The sequence below is a fragment of the Homo sapiens genome, chromosome 10 (genome assembly GCF_000001405.40).
Source record: "Homo sapiens chromosome 10, GRCh38.p14 Primary Assembly".
Taxonomy (NCBI): domain Eukaryota; kingdom Metazoa; phylum Chordata; class Mammalia; order Primates; family Hominidae; genus Homo; species Homo sapiens.
This window is the reverse complement of record NC_000010.11, coordinates 127,412,700-127,433,683: the sequence shown is the minus strand read 5'-3', so window position 1 is coordinate 127,433,683 and position 20,984 is coordinate 127,412,700. Positions and strand designations below refer to the sequence as shown.

The 20,984-nt window shown below is 49.9% G+C and overlaps 1 protein-coding gene across 16 annotated transcripts in view; it reads right to left on the bottom strand.

The window, feature by feature from the left end:
* Positions 1–20,984, bottom strand: part of DOCK1 (dedicator of cytokinesis 1) — a 547,089-nt gene that overhangs the window by 18,833 nt on the left and 507,272 nt on the right. For all 16 annotated transcript variants that reach the window (NM_001377544.1, NM_001290223.2, NM_001377546.1 and 13 more), the window contains 5 exons: positions 18,446–18,532; positions 15,143–15,319; positions 13,935–14,018; positions 7,673–7,810; positions 256–401 (listed from right to left, as the gene is read on the bottom strand). In NM_001377544.1, the coding sequence (NP_001364473.1) occupies positions 256–401; positions 7,673–7,810; positions 13,935–14,018; positions 15,143–15,319; positions 18,446–18,532 (632 nt within the window). The remainder of the gene's footprint in view (positions 1–255; positions 402–7,672; positions 7,811–13,934; positions 14,019–15,142; positions 15,320–18,445; positions 18,533–20,984) is intronic.

The window sequence follows — 20,984 nt, the reverse complement described above, 5'->3', positions numbered from 1 at the left end:
GAGGTTCTAAATTGGATGAAAACCTCACCCAAAGTGGTACCCAAAGAGAGGATGTTTTTCTCAACAACTCACACGACCTCAAAGTAATATTGGGCACTACGGTCAGAAAGTCTCGGAGGGTCTCAGTTTCAAAGATAATTTTGATGAACACAAAATCCTCAGTTGTAAGAAAATAAACCCAGAGCCCTGGGTGGCTCCTTCCAGATCCCCCAAGCCCTCACTGCTCAGCTCAGCCCTGCTGTGAGCTTGACTCACCCGTCGGAGCCTGGTCTGGAAGGGGTGCTGTCCGATGAGAGGGAAGAGACAGAGGCCACAGACAGAGGGCGGGATGAGGAAGGCATCGTGAAGGACCGCACCATGGACCGGGGGCGGCTGCCTCTTCTATCATCCAGACTTGAGGGCTGAGAGCGAGAAAGAGAGAGAAGGAGACTTGTTTGATGCCTGTGCCTGCCATGGTCAGACTCCTGAGATAAAGTGGCCTTAGCTGTGTGGAATCGAGACCATCATCGTTCAGACTTCTGTAAACAGTACATGTTCTTGTTCTGAGTGGAAGACAAAAACAATGATTATTTTTGAGTCTTTTAAAACCTAACCCAATACTGTGAAAGTATCAGAAGGAACCTTCTTAGCCTTTTAATACACAGTGCAAGTTTTCTTCAAAGACCGCGATGCGTCAACACATTCCAAAGCCACAGGAGAATGTGCCGACCAGAAAGTTTAATGTAGAGTAACACCTAGAGAGTGATTAAAGAGTCTTTCGATCTTTAGATGCATTTTGTGTATCTCTGCAGGTTGACAGACTACACGGGCCATCAAAATGCATGAATCCATAATGACTGACCTCCTCTAGACAAAAATAACATGCTCCTGCTGCTTAATGAAGAGTACGTTTCCTTTCTGCAAGTGACTGAAGCCACTGAGTAGGTGAAACCGCTGCTGAAGTTGCTAAAGCTTCTCCCACTTGCTAGGTAGTGAACTAGTGATGCATTGTGCCAAAAACAAACAAAAAAAAGATCTCTAGATGGACTTTTCCATCTTCTTCTTGACATATTACAGAAGCAAGTGTCCTTGAAATACAGCATGTGTCCACATCTCATTAGCTAGAAAATTCCAGGGTACCTGCACCCCGAGCCAGATGTTGGCACATCTGGGACTGCAGCTGCTGCACAAGGACCTTCCTTTAACCTGAGGATGTGGAAACTAAGTTCCTGTAGGGCACCTCCTCTCTGTGTGGCGTTGACTTCCCCACCCTGCAACCCCACCCCGCCCATCTCATTCAGCCAATCAACTACAGAAGACCTGCTGTGGACCATGGTTCCAGCCCTCCAAGGCCAGAAGCGGTAGATTACAGGTAAGATTAATATAACGCCACTTCCCCTTCTGAAAAGTGGGCCTTTTTCTTAAATATGTGATCCCAAATAAAACAGCATTTGATGTGTAAACTATCTCTTTCATAATAAGAAGCTCAAAATTGTAAAAGGGCAGGAATTGGCCCACATTTTCTGTAAAGCAGTTGTCCCCAACCTTTTTGGCACCAGGAACCGGTATCGTGGAATACAATTTTTCCACAGACCAGCAGGAGATGGTTTCAGGATGAAACTGTTGCACCTCAGATCATCAGGCATTAGATTCTCATAAGGAGTGCACAACCCAGATCCCTCACATGCACAGTTTACAATCGAGTTCATGCTCCCATGAGAATCTAATGCTGCCACTGATCTGATAGGAGGCAGAGCTCAGACAGTAATGCTCCCTCACCCGCCGCTCACCTCCAGCTGTGGGCCCAGTTCCTAACGGGCCACAGACTGATACCAGTCCACTGCCTGAGGGCTGGGACCTCTGCTGCAAAGGACCAGGTAAGTATTTTAGGCTTGCAGGACATATGGTCTCTGTGGAAACTAGCACGCGCTGCCACGACAGCACAAAAGCAGCCACAGATAATACAGAAATGAATGAGCATGGCCTGCCTGTCAACAAAACTTTATTTACACAACCACGCCAGGGGCCACAGTTTGCTGACCACTGGCTCTGAGTGACGTGCAGCTGGGATTTGCCAGCAGAGAGGGGTTGGTCAGTCTTGGACCTGCACCAATGATGGTGCCAGGGGATAGCTTCATGGAGATGTTCACTGTAATTACTCTGCCTTTAGAAGAAACTAAAAGGGAAATGGTTGCTTGGGGATTATCCCCAACTGTGAAAACCTTACCCCATACATAATCTCAGAAGGTGACCTCAGGTCTTGGTTGAGATGTGTGAGTATGGATTTCAAGGAATAAAGGAAGGGGGTTGGCAGGAGGATGACTCCCGTCAAGGAGAGACAGAGGGCACTCCCTGGGTGCGACCATGGGTTTACTGGGCGGTCTGCCGCATAATTCCTTCTTGATTGAGCCTCTAGAAATCAAGACATCAGGGCTTTACTTTTGTTTCATCTGATGCAATTAGGGTCTCAACCAGTCCTGGGAGGTGGGACTCCACGGCCAGACACTGTGACTGAAAGTAGGGCTGGTGGGTAGGAGTTGGGGACATTGGAACTAGGCTGGAATTGTGGCCCTGGCACTGATGGTGTGACCCTCCATAAAACCCCGAGCCACTCGGAGCCCCAGCTTCCTCCTGAGCACACAGGGAGCAGTCTTCCCTGCCCAGAGGGCCAGCATTAGAACTAAATGAAATGATGCCGGGGAAGCCCACAGGGCTCCTTACCCTGATGGCTGCTGCTGTCTTCACCGCCTGAGCAAACACTCATTCCAGTTTTCTGACCAGGAGCGATCCTCTGGCCCTGCCTAATGACCCTGAGTTTTACGTCGCTGTCTCCCGGCTGAGCTGTAACGTCCCACCTTGAGCCAGCCACAGGTGTTTACTGCCCAGAGTCTTGGATGGGAATGGGCTGGGTTGAAGGGGTTGGCTGAACTTAATCACAGGGACCAGTGCTGTACAAGGAAGGGTAAGAAGCAGGCACACTTCATCGTGATCTGGAATGTCCCTTTCCAGATGCTATACAAATGCCAGCTACAGCCTGGAAATCCACAGAGGGTGACACATTTTCCTTTGGAGAGAGCAGGTGGGGGAGGAGGGGCTGGGGGGTGGGGCAGAAGATGGGCAGGCCCAGCAGGGAGGGTGCGAGTGTGATGTTAGAACCTTGGCCGGCCCTCAGAGGCCACAAGACTGAAGGACACAACTGCACCATCAGCTCTGCATCTGAAACAGAACCCTGGTCCCTGGCTGTTCTTGTAGGCCATGCCACACTGCTTCTCCTCACCATGGAACTCCAGCACAAGGAATAGGTGAAGCTAAATGTTCCTGCTGAGGCAGGGGCTATCAGCTCCACCTCCCAGTCAACACCCCTCCCAACAGCCTCTGAGGAACCCCAGGGTCTCATGGATCCCAGTTAAGAGAACTACTGGGATGGGTCCCCCCGGCAGCTGTGGAGGGAGGGCGAGAGAGGAGAAATCCTGGAAGCTGGGGGCCAGGTCAGGGGCCAACTGTGATGGCAAAGATGGTGGGGTGAACCCCAGCACCACCAGGGGATACCACAGCTAGAACTAACTTGAGGGAGGAAGGGTGACTCCTGGTTCTCTCCCGGGTCTGGGTGGCCAGCGGGTGTTGTGACTGTAGGTGGGGAGGGGAGAGGGGGACGATGGCATCTTGGGGTTATGGCTCTCCATGGTGTTTGGAGTGATGAGGTGGATGGGAGTAGAGAGAATGCAGAACCAGGATCAATTTCCCTGCTCCTAATCGGACTTGAAGAGGTAGATGAAGTTTTGGTGAGAAACCTAAAGCTCTTTTTCACAAGCCTGAAGGCCAACACACATGCCTCCTGCACGCTGTGGGCTGGTGAGGGCACGGGGGCCAATGCCGAACGTGGCGCTGTGGGCCGGTGAGGGCACGGGGGCCAATGCCGAACGTGGCAGGTGCTCACGGGCTCATCCCTGGGGCCCTGCACACCTCGCTCCCTAAAGGTCAGGAGAAGCTGGGCTGCAGAGCTCCCATCCAGGGAATGGCAGCTCCTTGGAGCCCCAGGACTGGGAACACGATGAAAGCCAAGGCAGAGTGGCAGAGGGGCCTGGGTATCGAGAAGTCAGAGGGCGTCCACATCTTCTCTTTCTATGGCTTAAGCTGGCTCAGAAACACTGACAAAATGGTTTATGTCCTTTCTATGGGTTTATTTTTAAATTTTAAAATCCATCTTTTTTGCAAACAGGGTGATACTAGATTGCTTTTCAAAGTGCTCTGAGATGATTGCAAGTTTCCAAAGTAGGTAAGACAGGAAAGGCACATCCCAGACTGCGTTTTATTGCCACATTTCTCAGGGAAGGACAAGGGGACCTGCCAGTCCCCTTGACTCTCAAAGGATGCTTGCAGAGCCTGCTGTTGCGGTCAAAGGATGGAGCAGGACTCTGCAAGGTGGGTCCGGGGAACAAAGTATCTCAGGGTGGAAAATGCAACCTTCATTCTGTAAAAGCCTCCCACCCCCTAGACGGGGTGACCCAGCTGGTGCTACAGAGAAGGGTGGGGAGGTTGATGGAGACGGTGCTGCCTCACAATGTGCTGGAAATAAGCTCCAACCAAGGACACACAGCATCCCAATCCACACGGCACCCCAATCCACATGGTACCCCAATCCACACAGCACCCCAATCCACATGACACCCCAATCCACACGGCACCCCAATCCACACGGCATCCCAATCCACACGGCACCCCAATCCACATGGTACCCGAATCCACACAGCACCCCAATCCACACGGCACAATCCACACGGTACCCCAATCCACACGGCTCAATCCACACGGTACCCCAATCCACATGGCACCCCAATCCACACGACACCCCAATCCACACGGCACAATCCACACGGTACCCCAATCCACACGGCACCCCAATCCACATGACACAGTCCACACAGCACCACAGTCCACACGGTACCCCAATCCACACAGCACCCCAATCCACAGGACACCACAATCCACATGACACAGTCCACACAGCACCACAATCCACACGGTACCCCAATCCACACGGCACCCCAATCCACACGGCACTCCAATCCACATGACACCCCAATCCACATGGCACAATCCACATGGCAGCCCAATCCACACAACACCACAATCCACATGGCACCCCAATCCACACAACACCACAATCCACATGGCACAATCGACATGGCACCCCAATCCACACGACACCCCAATCCACATGACACCCCAATCCACACGGCACCCCAATCCACAAGGCACTCCAATTCACACGGCACCCCAATTCACACGGCACCCCAATCCACACAGCACACCAATCCACAGCACCCTACCTTCCTGCCCTTGCTTTCTCCACCTGTGCCCAAAGCAAGCACACTCAGAACTCATGAATGTGGCAGAGAAGGGAATATGCAGGATGTCTGGTGAGCCAGACAGCTTTCTGTGATTTTGAAATATACATTAAATGACTGAGAAAAGAGGAAGCTTTTCACTTAGGAAGAAAATGTCAAGATTTCACAAGTGTTTGTTTCTTAGAATGAATTAATACAGGCATCAACTTTGAAAGAGATGCGATGTGACGCACTCCGAAACGCTTCTTGCCACTCAGCTCTGACTGTAATGAGTTGCAGGCTCTGAAGCTATCAAGCGCTACTCTAGCATTCTGACTTGCACAAAGGATCCTCCAGCCCAGCCTTGAAGGACAGAGCCCTGATTTCCAGGCCTGTTCACCTGCAGCAGCTCCCGCTGGGCTGGCAGTTCCAGACTCCCACCTGCTGAGTTTTCAACCTCAGAGCAGCAGTTGTGTTATGTTGGCTTTGTTGGGTTCAAGCCCTGCTGGGCCTGGGACCCTCTCATCTGAGGGACACCAGGTCCTAGGCTTGGAGGCACCAAGGTTCGGTCATGCCCGGCAGAGGCGGGGAGACTGGGAGAGCATGCAGTGTGATCATAACCAAATTACCTTCTCTCAGGGGTTGCCCAGGTCTCATATGCATTTCCTACCATGTGGGAAAGAGGCGGAGAAGCTCTGTGGTGCCAAATGTCAGCCCCTGGAGTAGGGGCTAAAAGCACAGACCCTGGAGGTACATGGATAGGGCTTGAACCATGGGTCTGCCACGTGCTAGGGTGTGACCTACTTACCTTCCCATGTCCCTGTTTCCTTGACTGTAAAATGCAGGTGACTGCAGTGCCTGCTTCACAGAGTGTGAGGCAGATTAAGCAACTGAGTATCTATACAGCACTTAGGAAGGTCCCTGGCACGTGGGGAGCACTAAATTACTGTTTGCTTATTGAGATCAATGTGTCAAAGAAAACAGGGTTCAATAGAGAATAGCTGAGAACTTCAGGGACTGGTGGACAGGCGGCCCTGGGCCCAGAAAAAAACCAAAATGGCACACCCCACTCGACACCTGGTCTTCAAGGAGCAGAGGAAAGTGCCGTATGTTACCTGGGAGAAGCAGCGCGACTTCCCACAGCTCGCCTTCCTTTTGCCGGGGAGTTGAAGCCCTGTGCACACCCCCTCAGTGCCGGCAGGCATGGAATTCCAGTAGACAGAAGAGAGCTCCCTGCTTCTCTGTGCCACATTGCCCCTCATCCCTGAACAATGGGGAGTGGGGACCCTTTGCCGTGTCTGGTGTCTCCACAGTTCCCGAGCAGGCAGGGTAGGCCCAGCAAAGCTCCCAGAGACTGAGTAAAGATGGGAGCACCACTCTGAGCTGCAAAGCAGGGCAGCACTGTGACTCACGGTGCCTGGCTTTGCTCCCACATCTGCTAAGGCATGGCTCCTGGGGACAGTCTCAAGTGGGCTGTAAGATTTGAACTGCAAGGTTTTTGCATCATTAAAACTCAAGCTGCTCTCCACCCTGCTCCTGATGCCAGCCTTTGCTCAGAAACCTTCCATAAACTCATTGCAAAAGCTCAGTTCTGCCCTTCATCCCGAGCAGAGCCTCCTGCCCCAGCCTAGCATCCCTTGTTCTTGGAGGTTGGGTGCCTTTCCATCTCCGCTCTGAATTTTCTCTTCTGCCCAAAGCATGCCTGTGTCTGCACTGGCCCCTGGCCTGCCATTCAAACTCCTGCCTCTCAGCCTCTGTTGAGGGAGTCCTTTCCCCAGGCAGTGTCTTCTTGATCTCCTCCCCTGACCACATCTGGCTTATCTTCCTTGGTCTAGATCAATTACCCCTTCCTACAATAGGTAAATCTTCACTAATAATTTCACACTCCAGATGTTGGTCACTTCTTCCTCGATGGCCATGATCCTCTGATGTCAACCTTGGGCTGGGCTACCTCTGCCATGGGCCGTCGTGAGTGCTGTTGCCCTGTGGATGACCGAACCCTCTGTGTGTATTGTATGACTGTAGGTGTGCACTGTCAACCAGCTGAGTTGCCTGGGCGCTGTGAGATTTCTCCATTGCTCTGCAACAATAAGGTTGGACTGTGTTCACAGCAGGTGAGGGGGCATTTGGTAATCAAGGAAATTCATGAATGTTTATTCGCCCTGACATTTCCAGTTATTGAAAGGAGGTTGCTGAGTTGCCGGTAGACAAGACTGCCCAAGGGGGCTGAGCTCCCTCACATCCCACTTCCTAAGCGGGCACCATGTGTACATGTGAGTTCCTCTGCTCTGGAAGCTTGTCCCTGTTCAACAGTGGGATGCCCAGACACCCACTCTTCTGCAACACTACGCATACTACCCTCTTACCATGATTCGGACGCCGTACTCTTTCTCCACCTTTTCCTTCAGCTGTTTGAAACAGGCCTCCATCCTCTCGTGGAACGGCCTCAGTGCCTCCGTGACTTTGTCTCCATGGATTCTGATCCCTTCGGCCAGAAAAGGAATCTGGAAAACAGAGAGGTTGACATTCCTTATTTCTTGGATAATGGTCTAGGACGAGCAATGCACACTTGGGGAAAGGGGAACTGGCAAAACGATCTGCTTTGGTTTCCAAATCAAACCAGCTGATTCAATTTACCAGCAGGCATATTACCACCAAAGACCAAAATGTTTACATGAAAACCATTTGTGTTCTGAATTGACTATGTCCAGTGTGGTGCGCCCTACACCACGGCTACTCAGTTAATTTCCCAGAATAGACTTATCTGTGCTTTTCACTTGAGTTTGGGAAGAGCTACACCTTGAATTTGTTTAGATGTAACTTGTTCTATTAGCAAAGGGTCATGTCAGAGTGCGAACATTTTTTAGCTAAGAATATTGCCTTTACGAGAACCCTATTCCAAAAGGTAATTACATGTGATCTATAGTCCTGAAAAATCTTCCTTTTTTGGAAGTGAAAACCAAATTTATTCTTCTTTAAAACTAAAAATAATCGCTTCTCTGCGACACTGCTGTCACAAAATATCCATGCCAACACTTCACTTCCGAGAGTGGAGATGAAGCTGACCTTTAAAAACGTTCTAAGAGAGACATTTTCATTCTCCCAGCTGCAGAGACCCACCAGAGTTGCTGCTGTTGTGGGGTGGGAGAAGGAAAAGTCTCCCTTTCTGTCCCTGGTCTCTGCTTCCCCCCAGGGCTTGGACTCAGTTAGACATTCTTCCATGTAATCAAGCTAAGAGGCTTCCTCTCAATAATTTATAATTAAATCAAAATACTGATTAAAAACAGATTTTCCTAATAGGACAGAACACCAATCTAAATGAGCAGATTTATTAGTATGAACGATAATAAGTACACAATTGAATTTCATGTGAGCAAATTCAAGAAATCTTATCAAGATGAATCAACGCATCAAATGTATTTGGTTACCATTTATAGCACACAGCTGTTGCCTCTCTTGGTGCTCCAGGAAAGGAGGGAGTAGCAGCGCTCTCCTCGCTCATAGCCCTCCTAGCCTGCTTGGAGGCTGCACCGACACAAAAGTTTGTTTTGCTGACAGTTGGCCCCAAACCCTAGGCACATGTCAGGCCTTTCTGGCCAGTTATCACCGAAAGGACAGCATACAGAGAGATTTCAAAATACTTGGGATGTTTTAATATTCCCTATGAATTACTCGTGCAGATGGCAGCTTCCCCGGGGCTAGCCGCGGTTTACTCAGGGCCAGCAGTAGAAAATGCTCACTGTCAGCCTTCTGCCTCCTGAGTTCCGCCTTGGGGGATGACGCAGACAGACCGGGACAACTTTTGGTGGGATGTCGAATGTGTTGGGTCTCTCTCTGGATGCAAAGGCAGGGATGTGTGGAGGTGCTGTTGCAAGGTGAAAGCACAGCCACCCTAGATACTAAAAGCATTTCTGATTTAGGGCGGGCCTTTCTCAAACTACAAAATGTAATCTAGTTCCTGAGTTTTGCTGTTGTTGGTGTTGATGGTGGTGTGATAAAACTCTTAATGGTCAGATTCTTTCTGTCAAAGAAGGTACTTGTCAGATGAGAGTTAAGACCTTTTGGTTTAGGACGCTTGTGCTGCTCGAACTGCAATCTGATAGGTGAAATTTACCAGGTGTGAGAATTCACCACTCTCAGCAGTTCCTGACGTTGATGGGAAATAACCTTCTGATAGGACAGGAACTGGTTCCCTGTTATATGTCTACTTGGGGCTGAACTGCAGGTGTGATTCTAAATGAAAGAAGATAAGAGGATGCCCTGAGTAAACACATTCCAATGCACAAAAAGCACTTAACATAGACCGAGGGTCTGAAATGGTCTCTGGAGACCCTGTAGTTGAGTGGGTTCCACTCTGGCTAAGCATCAGAATCTCAGGTGGATTCCTGAACCCCACCTCCAGAGCCCTGATTTGCTGTAGGCAGATCCCAGGAATCTGCATTCCTAAAGAGTTTCTCAGAGCCCAGAGATGGGAGAGGACTTTCCCTAAGTCACACCTCTAATTAATCAAAGCGAGCCTGCAGCCTGCTCTACAAAGACGCCCTCCTGATGGGCCGTATTTGAAGTTTGCTCCTGTCTGTCCCCTGCACAGATTCATGCCCTGAAAGCAGCACAGAACATCTGGAAGCCTTGCTTAATGCTCCAGGAGCACCACCCCTGGACACAACAGTCATGCTTGTCATCAGCTGGGGATGATGGCTGAGTTCAGCCTTTCATCTTCGTACATTTCAAAAGAGAAATATGTATACATCACAGCAGTTTAATATGAGACTGTATGGATTTGTCTTTGGATACTCGGCAGGGATGCTCCACAATGACAGCTGTGTATGGAGAAAGATGGAATTGTGCCTTTGAGAAAGTGACTCATGACCTGGTGCCAGCCGCAAACCTACAAGAGGCACCACACAGTGTGCACCCTGACTGCCACCTCCCACCCAGCGAGGAGCAGGTCAGCCCATCCTCTGTTTCTGAGGCAGCAAGCAGGGCTGAGGAGGAGCTGCCTGGGACTTATTAACCAACCTTCACAAACCATTTTATGCATCAGAGCTGAGCTTATTATATATCGGTGATGAAAACTCTGCACATGAGTCCTGGGACTCCCAGGAGAAAAACCTCACTCTGCCCTGATAGTTTCAGGAAAAAACCAAACCAGATGAACTAATAAACAAAAAGAGAACAAAGCATTCTGATAAATTCAAACTTCTTATTTTTAATGAACATATGACTCAGTTGCCAATACCAAGATACGGGTTTTCCAAACATTTGCAAATGAAAGCAAAATCACAGGTAATGTTTGGAATATGCATTTTTCATCACTCTTTGATTTAATGAAGTTACTAGAAAACTGATTCTTTTACCTTTCCTGTGACCTGCTTTAAAATTCATCCTTTAATATAGTTATTAGGAATGATGACATAGTGCTGACATAAAGCTGCTCTCTGGGGAACAAATTATTTTCCTCTGTAGGACTTGAAACTCTTAAAATCCAATTTGCTGTAAAAGCTTATAGGAAAAAAAAAATCAATAGAACTTTTGCAGACCAAACTAGTTTTTGTATAGCAATAGTTTTATAGCCTGCAGAGGAATTTTGAATTTCGTACCCTTTAGTAAAAAATCTACAACATCTAAAATGGAATCATTCACAATTTTAAACTCTCTCCCACTTTTTTAGTTACAGAGGGAGACTGTCTACATGAGGCTTACAATCCATACAAAGAAGCCAAAGTTGGCCAACAATGTCCCTTTCAGTCAAACTCTGAGGACGTTCAAAACCATAATTCCAAAGCAAACAGATTTCAAATGCAGATTTGTGACAAAGTCTGATTTCTTCCCTTTTAATATAATTTTTGTTTATATATACATATAAATAAAACTTCTCACTCATTAAAATGGCTATTACTTAAAAGATAAACAGGCCAGGCACGGTGGCTCACACCTGTAATCCCAGCACTTTGGGAGGCTGAGGTGGGCGGATCACGAGGTCAAGAAATCGAGACCATCCTGGCCAACATGGTGAAACCCCATCTCTACCAAAAATACAAAAATTAGCCAGGTGTGGTGGCACACATCTGTAGTCCCAGCTACTCGGGAGGCCGAGGCAGGAGAATCGCTTGAACCCGGGAGGTGGAGGTTGCAGTGAGCCAAGATCACGCCACTGCACTCCAGGCTGGTGACAGAGCGAGACTCCATCTCAAAAAAAAAAAAAAAAAAAAAAAAAAAGACAAACAAAATAACAAGTCTTGTTGGGGGTGCAGAGAAGTTGGAATCATGCATTACTGCTGGTGGGAATGTCAAATGGTGCTGTGACCGTAGAAGAGTTTGGCAGTTTCGTGAAAAAGAAAACACAGAATACCACATGAGCCAGCAATTCTAAATTTGGGTATATACCCCAAACTATGGGAGTATTGAAAGCAGGGACTTGAGCAGGTATTTATACACCCACATTCACAGCAGCATTGTTCACACCAGCCAAAAGGTAGAAACAACCCACATGTTGTTCCTTGACAGATCCGTGGAGAAACACATTGCGGTCTAGCCCTATAATGGAGTATTACTCAGCCTTAAAAAGGAATGAAGTTCTGACACACACTACAACATGGATGAATCTGGAAGACATTCTGCTAAGAGAAACAAGCCAGACACAGAAGGACAAGTATTACATGATTCCACTCATATAAGCTATCTAGAGTAGGCAAATTCATAGAGACACAAAGTAGAATGGTGGTGACCAGGAGGTGGGTGGAGGGAGGAATGGGGAAGTCGTTCAATGGGTAGAGAGTTGGAGATTTGCAAGATGACAAGGCTCTGGAGATGGATGGTGGCGGTGCTGGTTGTACAACAGTGTGAATGTACTTATTGCCTCTGAACTGGACACTTAAAAATGTTTAAGATGGGAAATTTTATGTTATGTATATTTTATCACAATTATTTATAATATATACATAATGTATATTATGTTTACATATCAGTATAAGCACTTAGAATTATAAAAATCCAACCCATCCTATATATCTAAACACAAATTTAAGAGGACTCGTACCTTGGCTCACAACCAAAGCTCAGCCTTGCTCCACTCTAAGACGTCTCATTGGCCAATGTGCTGATGACAGAGAGGCCACTAAGAAGAGGCCCTGCTGGGATGTCAGAATAAAAATGCTCACAGTGGCCTGGTGCAGTGGCTCATGCCTGTAATCCCAGCACTTAGGCCAAGGTGGGCGGATCACCTGAGGTCAGGAGTTCAAGACCAGCCTGGCCAACATGGCAAAACCCCATCTCCATTACAAGTACAAAAAAATTAGCCGGGCATGGTGGTGCACACTTGCAGTCCCAGCTACTTGGAAGGCTAAGGCAGGAGAATCACTTGAACCCCGGAGGAGGAGGTTGCAGTAAGCTGAGGTCACGCTACTGCACTCCAGTCTGGGCAACAGAGCGAGACTTCACCTCCAAAACAAACAAACAAACAAACAAACAAACAAATAAACTGCTCACGGTGATGTCTCATAAGAGGAACAGCCTTGCCCTGTTCCTTTTTTTTTTGTTTTTTAGACAGTTTTGCTCGTTACCCAGGCTGGAGTGCAGTGGCGTGATCTCAGCTCACTGCAACCTCCGCCTCCCGGGTTCAAGCGATTCTCCTGCCTCAGCCTCCTGAGTAGCTGGGATTATAGGCGTGCACCACCACGCCCAGCTAATTTTGTATCTTGCCCTGTTCTGGACTGGGTGCAGATCAACTGCACAGCATCTCTGGGCCTTGACTGGGAGCCTGGGACCCCAGCTTAGCAAAGTGGCCTGGGCTACGACACCTGGTCCAAACCCATGCAGGCCTTTGCCCCCACCTCCCTCAACTCTCTTTACACAGTGTGGCAAGATCTCGGGGACAGCACCCTCCTTGCCTCCCACATGTGAAAAGGAAGCCTAAAGAGGCAGTGGCCTAAAGCAGCAGAGCAGGCTGGTGCCGGCCAAGCTCTTGTGAGGACTGGCTCTTGACCCCTACACTTCCAGGCTCAGGAAGGCTCTGAGAAGCACAGATGCATCCGTCCGGTTCTGACACTTAAACCCAAGGCACCCAGGGTCTGCCCTTTCAAGATGCTGGCCCTCTGGGAAAGGCTCCCGAGGCCCCAGGAGCATAAGTAGAACAGTGAAATAACTTGCACAACTTCAGCTGGGAAAACACAGATGAGGACGCACACCACCGCCAGAGGTGCACGGAGAACAGGGAGAGGGTGCACTGCAGCTTCTGACGTACATGCGTTTCACAGGGACTGCACTGGCCCGAGCGCCTTTCCTGGCACAGGCTAGAGCTCAAGGCTTCATGGCTCTGAGCTCACCTCAATGTTCTATCAATACAGACAGAGAAAAAGTTTTCCAGCAGCCGGCAGAATTGACCAAGGGGAGGAAAGAGACCTTGTTCATTTGCAAGAGATAATTTTCTGGGTGTTCAAATTCCTGACTGCAGCCCAGGAGCTGAGTTGATCACGACAGCAGTGGGTGGGTTCACCCAGGGACAATCACAGCCACGTGCATCAGGACTGCAGCCCAGGGACCTCCATGCTGGCTGGTGTGTGTGCTGAGCCTAGACCCTCCTAGCTTTCCTTCCCTCCAGCCATGCAGGACTCTTGCTGGACACTTTACCTGCCAAGCAATCAGGTCCTTGAGCTTCTCGATCTTTTCATGGGCCTCAGGGTGCTCCTGCAGGTACCGGTCTGTAAAGAAGGCCTGGTGGAGACAAGGAGAGTTGCTCAGTGCACCTGCTCAGCAAACACAGGTTTTTGCACACTTACTGTGTGCCAGGCCCTGAGAATAGAGCTGTGCATAAAACAGATCCACACGAAGCTCACTGCAGACTCAGGGTCACACCCTTCGCAGCACCCAGGACAAAATGTCCCACAAGGTCAAACACTGTAAGTGGAGCTAACAGGGCTGTCTACAGCAGCAACCCCAGTTCTTGGGGTCCAGGAAGGCCACAGCTGACCTGGTGGCTTGGTCCTGCTGGGTGGCAGTGAATACAGCCCTCCCAGCTACTCACACGCCCATGCCTCCTGCCTAGCCCCTGCACCTGCCCAGGCCTGACCTACACCTGAAGGCAACAAACTTCTTTGTGCAAGGGTGGGTAATCATCTCCTCGCAGCCTTCTCTCAGGCAGTATCCTTTTTGTCTCAGTTTTTGCTCTGTCTAGATCAGGGGTCAACAAGCTTTTTTTGTGAAAGGCCAGATGGTAAACATTTTAGGTGTTGTGGACCATACAGGTCTCTATCACAACTACTCAATGCTGCCACTACTCAACTCGCCAGTTACAGTATCAGGAAAACAGCCTCAGGCGTAAGTAAGTGCACAGGCGTGGCCTTCTTCCAAAAGAACTGCAGTTACAAACACAGGCAGGGGTGGTCTAGGATACACCCTGTGTCCTTCAACTTCTGCCCATTCCTACAGAGCTAGGATCCAGGGAGACCAGCTGGCCGGGCCCCCTCCACCGTCAAAGCGCTACCTCCCTAGTCCTGATATTCTGGTGTTTTTGTCTAACTTTATCTTTTGGCCTGTAAGATCCCAGACCTTGTAAAAGCCACTGGAGGCCTGGGTGCAGATAAGCCCAGCCTGGGTGGGTCAGTGGGGGCTTCCTGGCTGTCTGGGGATGCCCAGGGGAGCCTTGCCGGGACTCCGGCCTTGACCTTGCTGCAGGCTTCAGGGGCCGCCACTGGCTGCTGCTGCCTGGCCTTGGCTGGGCCACTGCTGAGATTGCTCAATGAGACCAGGGGCGTTTCTGGGCTTTGGGGACTCTCGGGAATTTTCAGTCTGTCCCCGGGCAGGACTGCTTGCCCAGAGCAAGCTGGTGGGTCCCGTACCTTTTCGTAGTTTGCGAAGCCCCCCATGACAGCTGGGTCCACGATGCCGTTCAGGAGCATGGAGAGCGGGTTGATGGGCAGGCTGGGGTCATCCAGGTGCTGCTGCACCATGCTGTTGATCTTGTCGTTCGTCAGCTGCATGGTCTCAATGGCATTCTCCAGGGGGCTGATTTCCACCTGCAAAGAGAGAGGAGAGCCCGATGTCAGCCCCACAGCTGCCTCCACTCCCAGGGTCTCACCAGAGGAGCCACGTGCTCTGGGGCAGGCTTCCTGCTCCTCCGTGAACCTTTCTTCCAAACAGAATTTTTGGGTGGCTGGGCATTTTATTATTATTGTTTGTTCCCAGAGATGAAAATTCCAAAGGAACAAAGCAAAGCTGCTGCTCAGCTCTGGGGGCGGGGCTGTGTGTGTGCATGTGGCTATGCACATATGTGGTCATCCCAGGAAAACACGCAGCCTTGAGTGCTTGAATACACCTGCTTCAGAACAGACACTTCCAATCCTGTTCTTGTTCTCTGCTTGTTGTGCTGAGGGAGAAGATGTTCGGGAATTTTGAGGAATCTAAGCCCGGGCAGCCTGCACTACCTGTCCGGTTAGGGAGGGCAAAGGAGGTCAAGGCAGGGCTCCGCCATGGCACCACACACCATCATGTGAAGGAAGAGTGATGGGCAGGCGTGGTGGCTCCTGCCTGCAATCCTAGCACTTTGGGAGGCTGAGGTGGGCGGGTCACCTGAGGTCAGGAGTTCAAGACCAGCCTGGCCAACATAGCAAAACCTTGTCTCTACTAAAAACACAAAAATTAGCCAGGTGTGGTGGTGCATGCCTGTAATCCCAGCTACTCGGGAGGCTAAGGCAGGATAATTACTTGAACCCAGGAGGCAGGGGTTGCAGTGAGCCGAGATTGAGCCACTGTATTCAGGCTGGGCAACAGAGTGAGACTCCAAAAAACAAACAAACAACAACAAAGAGAGCTCATGGCCCCTGGGGTCGGGAGGAAAAGGCTGCTTGGAGCACTCCAGGCCACCCTCACAGGCTTCATTTGCACACTTGCCATGGTTAATGACACCTTCAGTGCAGGAGGTAGGGGACTGACCACTGTCCTCCTGGCTCCAGTGCGTGTCTCTCAGGGACCTCCACCCTCTTTCTCTGAGGGCCCCACAGGGCCTGGCCTGGCCGAGTCCCAGCCCAGTGCCCTCCAGCTCAGCCCTAAGGTGCCAGGGCAACGTGGCTGGGTCTAAGGCAGGGACCACAGCTGCCCTGAGGTCTTGCTTGAGCAGACCAAACCTCCTCCTCACACTGGGCCACGGGGACCATGTCCCAGGGTGACCTCAGCAATAACTTTGCTCCTTCCAAAGGAAGCGTGATGGGCCCCCACCCATGCCCAAGAGCCCTTGGTATCTTCATGTCCGGCTTTCTTCCTGCTACAGCCTCTAGCGGACTGCCTGGGAGCTGGGGGTGGGGCAGGGCAGAGATGAACAGCGAATGGGCGATTCTGTCCGTCAGCAACCCTAGACTGGCACTCCTAGGTGGCTGTGGACATAACAGAGGTTGTCTGCCCACTGATGTCACTGTCCTTGCACTGATGGAGGGACAGCCTTGGGGAGATTGTGATGCACTGGTGTGGCCAGCCACGTGCACCCTGCTGAGAGGGCCCCTTGTCCGGTGTCCTGGACAGCAGGCATAGCCATGCTGTCCTGACCCCACAACTTACTTTGCCAGGCCCTACGACATTTCATCCCGGGCACACAGCTTCAACAAATGCACACTCCAGGGCAGTATTCCACCAGGACTGACTGTTACCTCCCTGTTACTAATCTCATTTGCACTGAGAAAGAATCCCTTCCTATTTTTATTGAAGAAGGTTAGCTGCTGCTCCCACAGATATCCCACGGGGGTTGGTCCCAGGTGGCACGAGGAGGGCATCAGGGTTTGGTAGCAGGACGTGAGTCCTGCCATTCTGGGATTATTTGCCTTCCTGCCCTCTTAGTCTGTTCAAAATGGCCAAAGCAGCCCGAGGAGAAGCTGCATCCTCACGAAAGGTCAGGGCTCCCCTCTCCACCTCCCTAAGCTCCTGCATCCGGCAGCTGTTGGCTGGCAGGCCCCGATTACAAAGGGCTCATGGGCAGAGGGTGATTAAGAGGATCACGGCCTGTTTAGGTGGAGGGCCTGCTCTTCTGTTGTCTCTCACATGTACAATGCCTCACTAGCTACAAAGGGACCCAGCAAAGGGAGTGCATTTTTACCACCTGACACATAACTCCCACAGCCTTCTATCTGTCAGGCACTGCCTGGCTGCTAGGGGCACAGAAAGGGAACTCCAGAGCAGAAAGTGACCCCAGGAGGGGTAGGTGAAGAGCCCTGGGTGCTTTGAGTATAAAGCAGTGGCTCTGACTGCGGGCAACCTCTCAGAGAGTGGCCCATAGCTGCCCATAGCTCATGCTGGTGTGGGCAAAGGAGAAGGCTCGGCGCTGGACACGCAGCTGGGCAGAGAGATGCCGGCCCCTAGAGACAAATAATCAGGTGTTTCGGGGGGACTCATTGAAAACTAAATGGCAAGTGCCACCCCCTCAGTGAGTTCTTGCCAGGTGAAAACAAAAGGCACTGAGACACATGAACAAAAACGTACAGATTTCAATCAGATGTTTTTATATTGCCAGTTGCCTTGGCCCTGACATTTCAATACTGTCAATAAATCTGCAGCCCAACTCTGGTTCATGTAAATGAAACTGTCCAATAGCTCACTGCAAATGTGAGTTTCACGTAAATGAAACTGCCCCATCTCAAAGCAAAGTTTAGCTTTGTTGAGAGCTGGAAATCGTTATTTCTTTAAAAAGGGTCAGGGAGGGGTATGTTCTCAGGCTATTTTTACTTGAAATGGGCAAGGACTATTAATTAATAGTTGTTTGTCATGTAAATGGCAATAAAACCATCAGGAAAAAAATCTTTAAAAAAGTTTATGTAGACTGGAATTTGTCTTCAACTTTTCACTTGGTTAACACAAAGCATTGTCAAAACAGCACAGCTATGACTGAATTTAAATACATTGTAAGAAGAAATGAAATCTTCATTCTGGTTTTTTGATAAGCTAGAGTTGGTCGTGATTACACAGCATTTCCACTAAAATATGGCTAGGCGAGGAGATATCGATGCTCTCAAGAACAGGTGGGGTGGTTATGGGAACTGTAGAGTCTGCTGTGTGCACGCTGCCACAGTGACCACGGGGCATGAGCAGGTGAAGAAGGCGTGGCAGACTGTATTGAGGAAGGGAACGGACAATTCCTTCTGGGGTGGGGCCATCCTTACCATGAAAACAGACTTGACCTCAAACCACCTTAAAATTCCAGGTAATTTATATGCAGTTGTATATATGGTTCTCTCGATCCACATATTCTGCAAAGGAAACACACACACACAACACGGGTTAGAAGGATGTCAGCAGGTGGACAGCTCTGCCCTAAGGGGGATTTATAGAATAACTCCAAAGGAGTCAGGTCCTTCAGCAGGACAGGGTCTGTGGTGCTCAGCACAGGGCATGTGTGCCTTCAGGTAGCACCTCACAAGCCACGCTCTACCTAACGGTCGCTCAGGATACATCAAAGTATCCCCTGTCCCCTAGCCAACATTGCCCACCACTCTGGTATTTGACAATGAAAGTATACTAGGTGAGTGAGAAAGATGTGTATACTCCAAAATGAGGTATGGGGAGCCCCTCTTGAGCAAACAGATTTTGAGGAAGGCTCCAAAGAAGTCTTACATTAGCTACAGTGTTCATAAGAAACTAAAAGGGGCAAATACATCTTTGGGAGACTGGATTTAATCAAAGTGACCTCTGATGTTCTGATAAAACCAGTCGGTATTTTAAACTTTAAAATGTTTTGACGTAACTAATATATGTTTATATGAGAACATAAAGATATGGAAAGAGCAGGAGGAAAAACCATCCCCTACCTGAAGCTGATAACCTATATGCTTTAGTATCTATTGTTCAAGACTTCTTACTAAGTATTAAAAAGTGTGTCTATGCATATTTTAAATAAAAACATCATTTGACAATGTGTTCTTTGTAAAACAGTATATTACCTATTGCAGGAAACTGTTCTAACCCAATAAATACAATTCTACTACTCTTTAAGGATTGCACAAAAACTCCAATGCAGGGGTCAACTGGAAATCCTTTATCCTACTGCCTCGTTCGTACTGTCTAGCTTGCAACAATCTTCTGCCATTCCAACCTCCCTGCACTGCAGGGTCACTGAGCAGTCTGAGTGTCAACAGGAATCTAGACTTAAGCAGATGGGATAATGGAATGCCAGTCATTCCAGAAAACTGGGACAAGCGTGGGGGGCTCACGTCTGTAATCCCAGCACTTTGGGAGGCCAGGGCGGGCAGATTGCCTGAGCTCAGGACTTCGAGACCAGGCCGGGCAACGTGGCAAAATCCCGTCTCTACTAAAAATACAAAAATTAGCCAGATGTGGTGGCATGTGCCTATAGTCTCAGCTACTCAGGAGGCTGAGGCATGAGAATCGCTTGAACTCGGGAGGCGGAGGTTGCAGGGAGCTGACATTACACCACTGCACTTCAGCCTAGGCAACAGAGCAAGACTCTCTCTCAAAAAAAAAAAATTTTCAGAAAACTGACTTGGATCTTGGAAAGCATTTATCCCAAACTTCTTACGTTCCATAGGAGGAAAGGGAAGGAGCTGGCTGAAGCCATAAGGACACAGGCAAGGCCTCCGTGTCCCACACCAGTCCTCTTTGCCCCATGGGGACGGCTCCCTCAGGTTTTTGTCCTGGCAATGGAAACAGGTCTGGCCCTCTCACATCCACCTCTAGACCAGATTCCAGTGCTTTCTCTCATGTCAACATGCCCTGAGACGGACCTCTGGGTTCCATCCTGGGCTTTACGGCCAGCTCCTCCTCACGCAGGCCCTGTCTCATCTTCCTCCTCGTCAGTGCCCTCACTCCCCAGCACATCAGTCACCCCTTGCCAGGTCTGCAGGGATGAGCCACCTCGCACTGCTCTCGGCCTGGTGGGCAGCTTCCCCAGCCCCCTGCACTTGGAGCCAGGCTCCCCGCTGGAGGGGCCGAGGCTGGCTTCCCAGTAGAGCAAAAGACGTTGCACTTATCTAAGGCTTTGTGGGGCATGTGAAGGACCAAATCCTGCAGCTTCCGAACACTTTGTCCAAGTGCCCGGACCTCAACAGGGCCATTAGGGGATTTCAGGGCCATTTAGAAGAAGCATAGCCTCTGAGGCTCAGCATAGCTCAAAATGTCAAGAGCCTTCGTTATTCTTAGCTCTGCACCCAACTGGCCGCGCACCCTCCAGTGGCTCACTTGACCTCCTTGTGTCTATTTCTTTATAGTCTAAGAATATATCTACTTGCCAGATGGGAGAGGTGTGAGGGAAATTCAAGAACTGCCTATAAATCCCACAGTTGAGGGACTCCATATAAACACTAGCGTTAGTGCTTATGATGACAGTAACAGGTGCAGTCTGCTCTGAAAGCCACTGCCCTTAGCGAGGGTGTCCAGGTTGGACGTGCCTAGGTTCTGCCCGCACTGTTGCAGACAATGGACACTGTAGTGACCAGTCCTGGAGGAGGTCCAGGGTGCTGGGTTCACCAACAAATAGGGTGAACATAATCTTCAAACAACCAGCCTGCTGGGACTGCACAATACTGCAGATTTCACCAACTCCAAGCTCCTTTGTGCTCCTTGGTGACACACAAGGAATCTGGCCTCGGGGCTGGAAGGAACTTCCCCATGGCTCTTAAGAGCTGAGCTAGGAGACTCACAGGTACTGCCCTGAGGATCCCATGACTGGCAGACCCCTGAGGGATT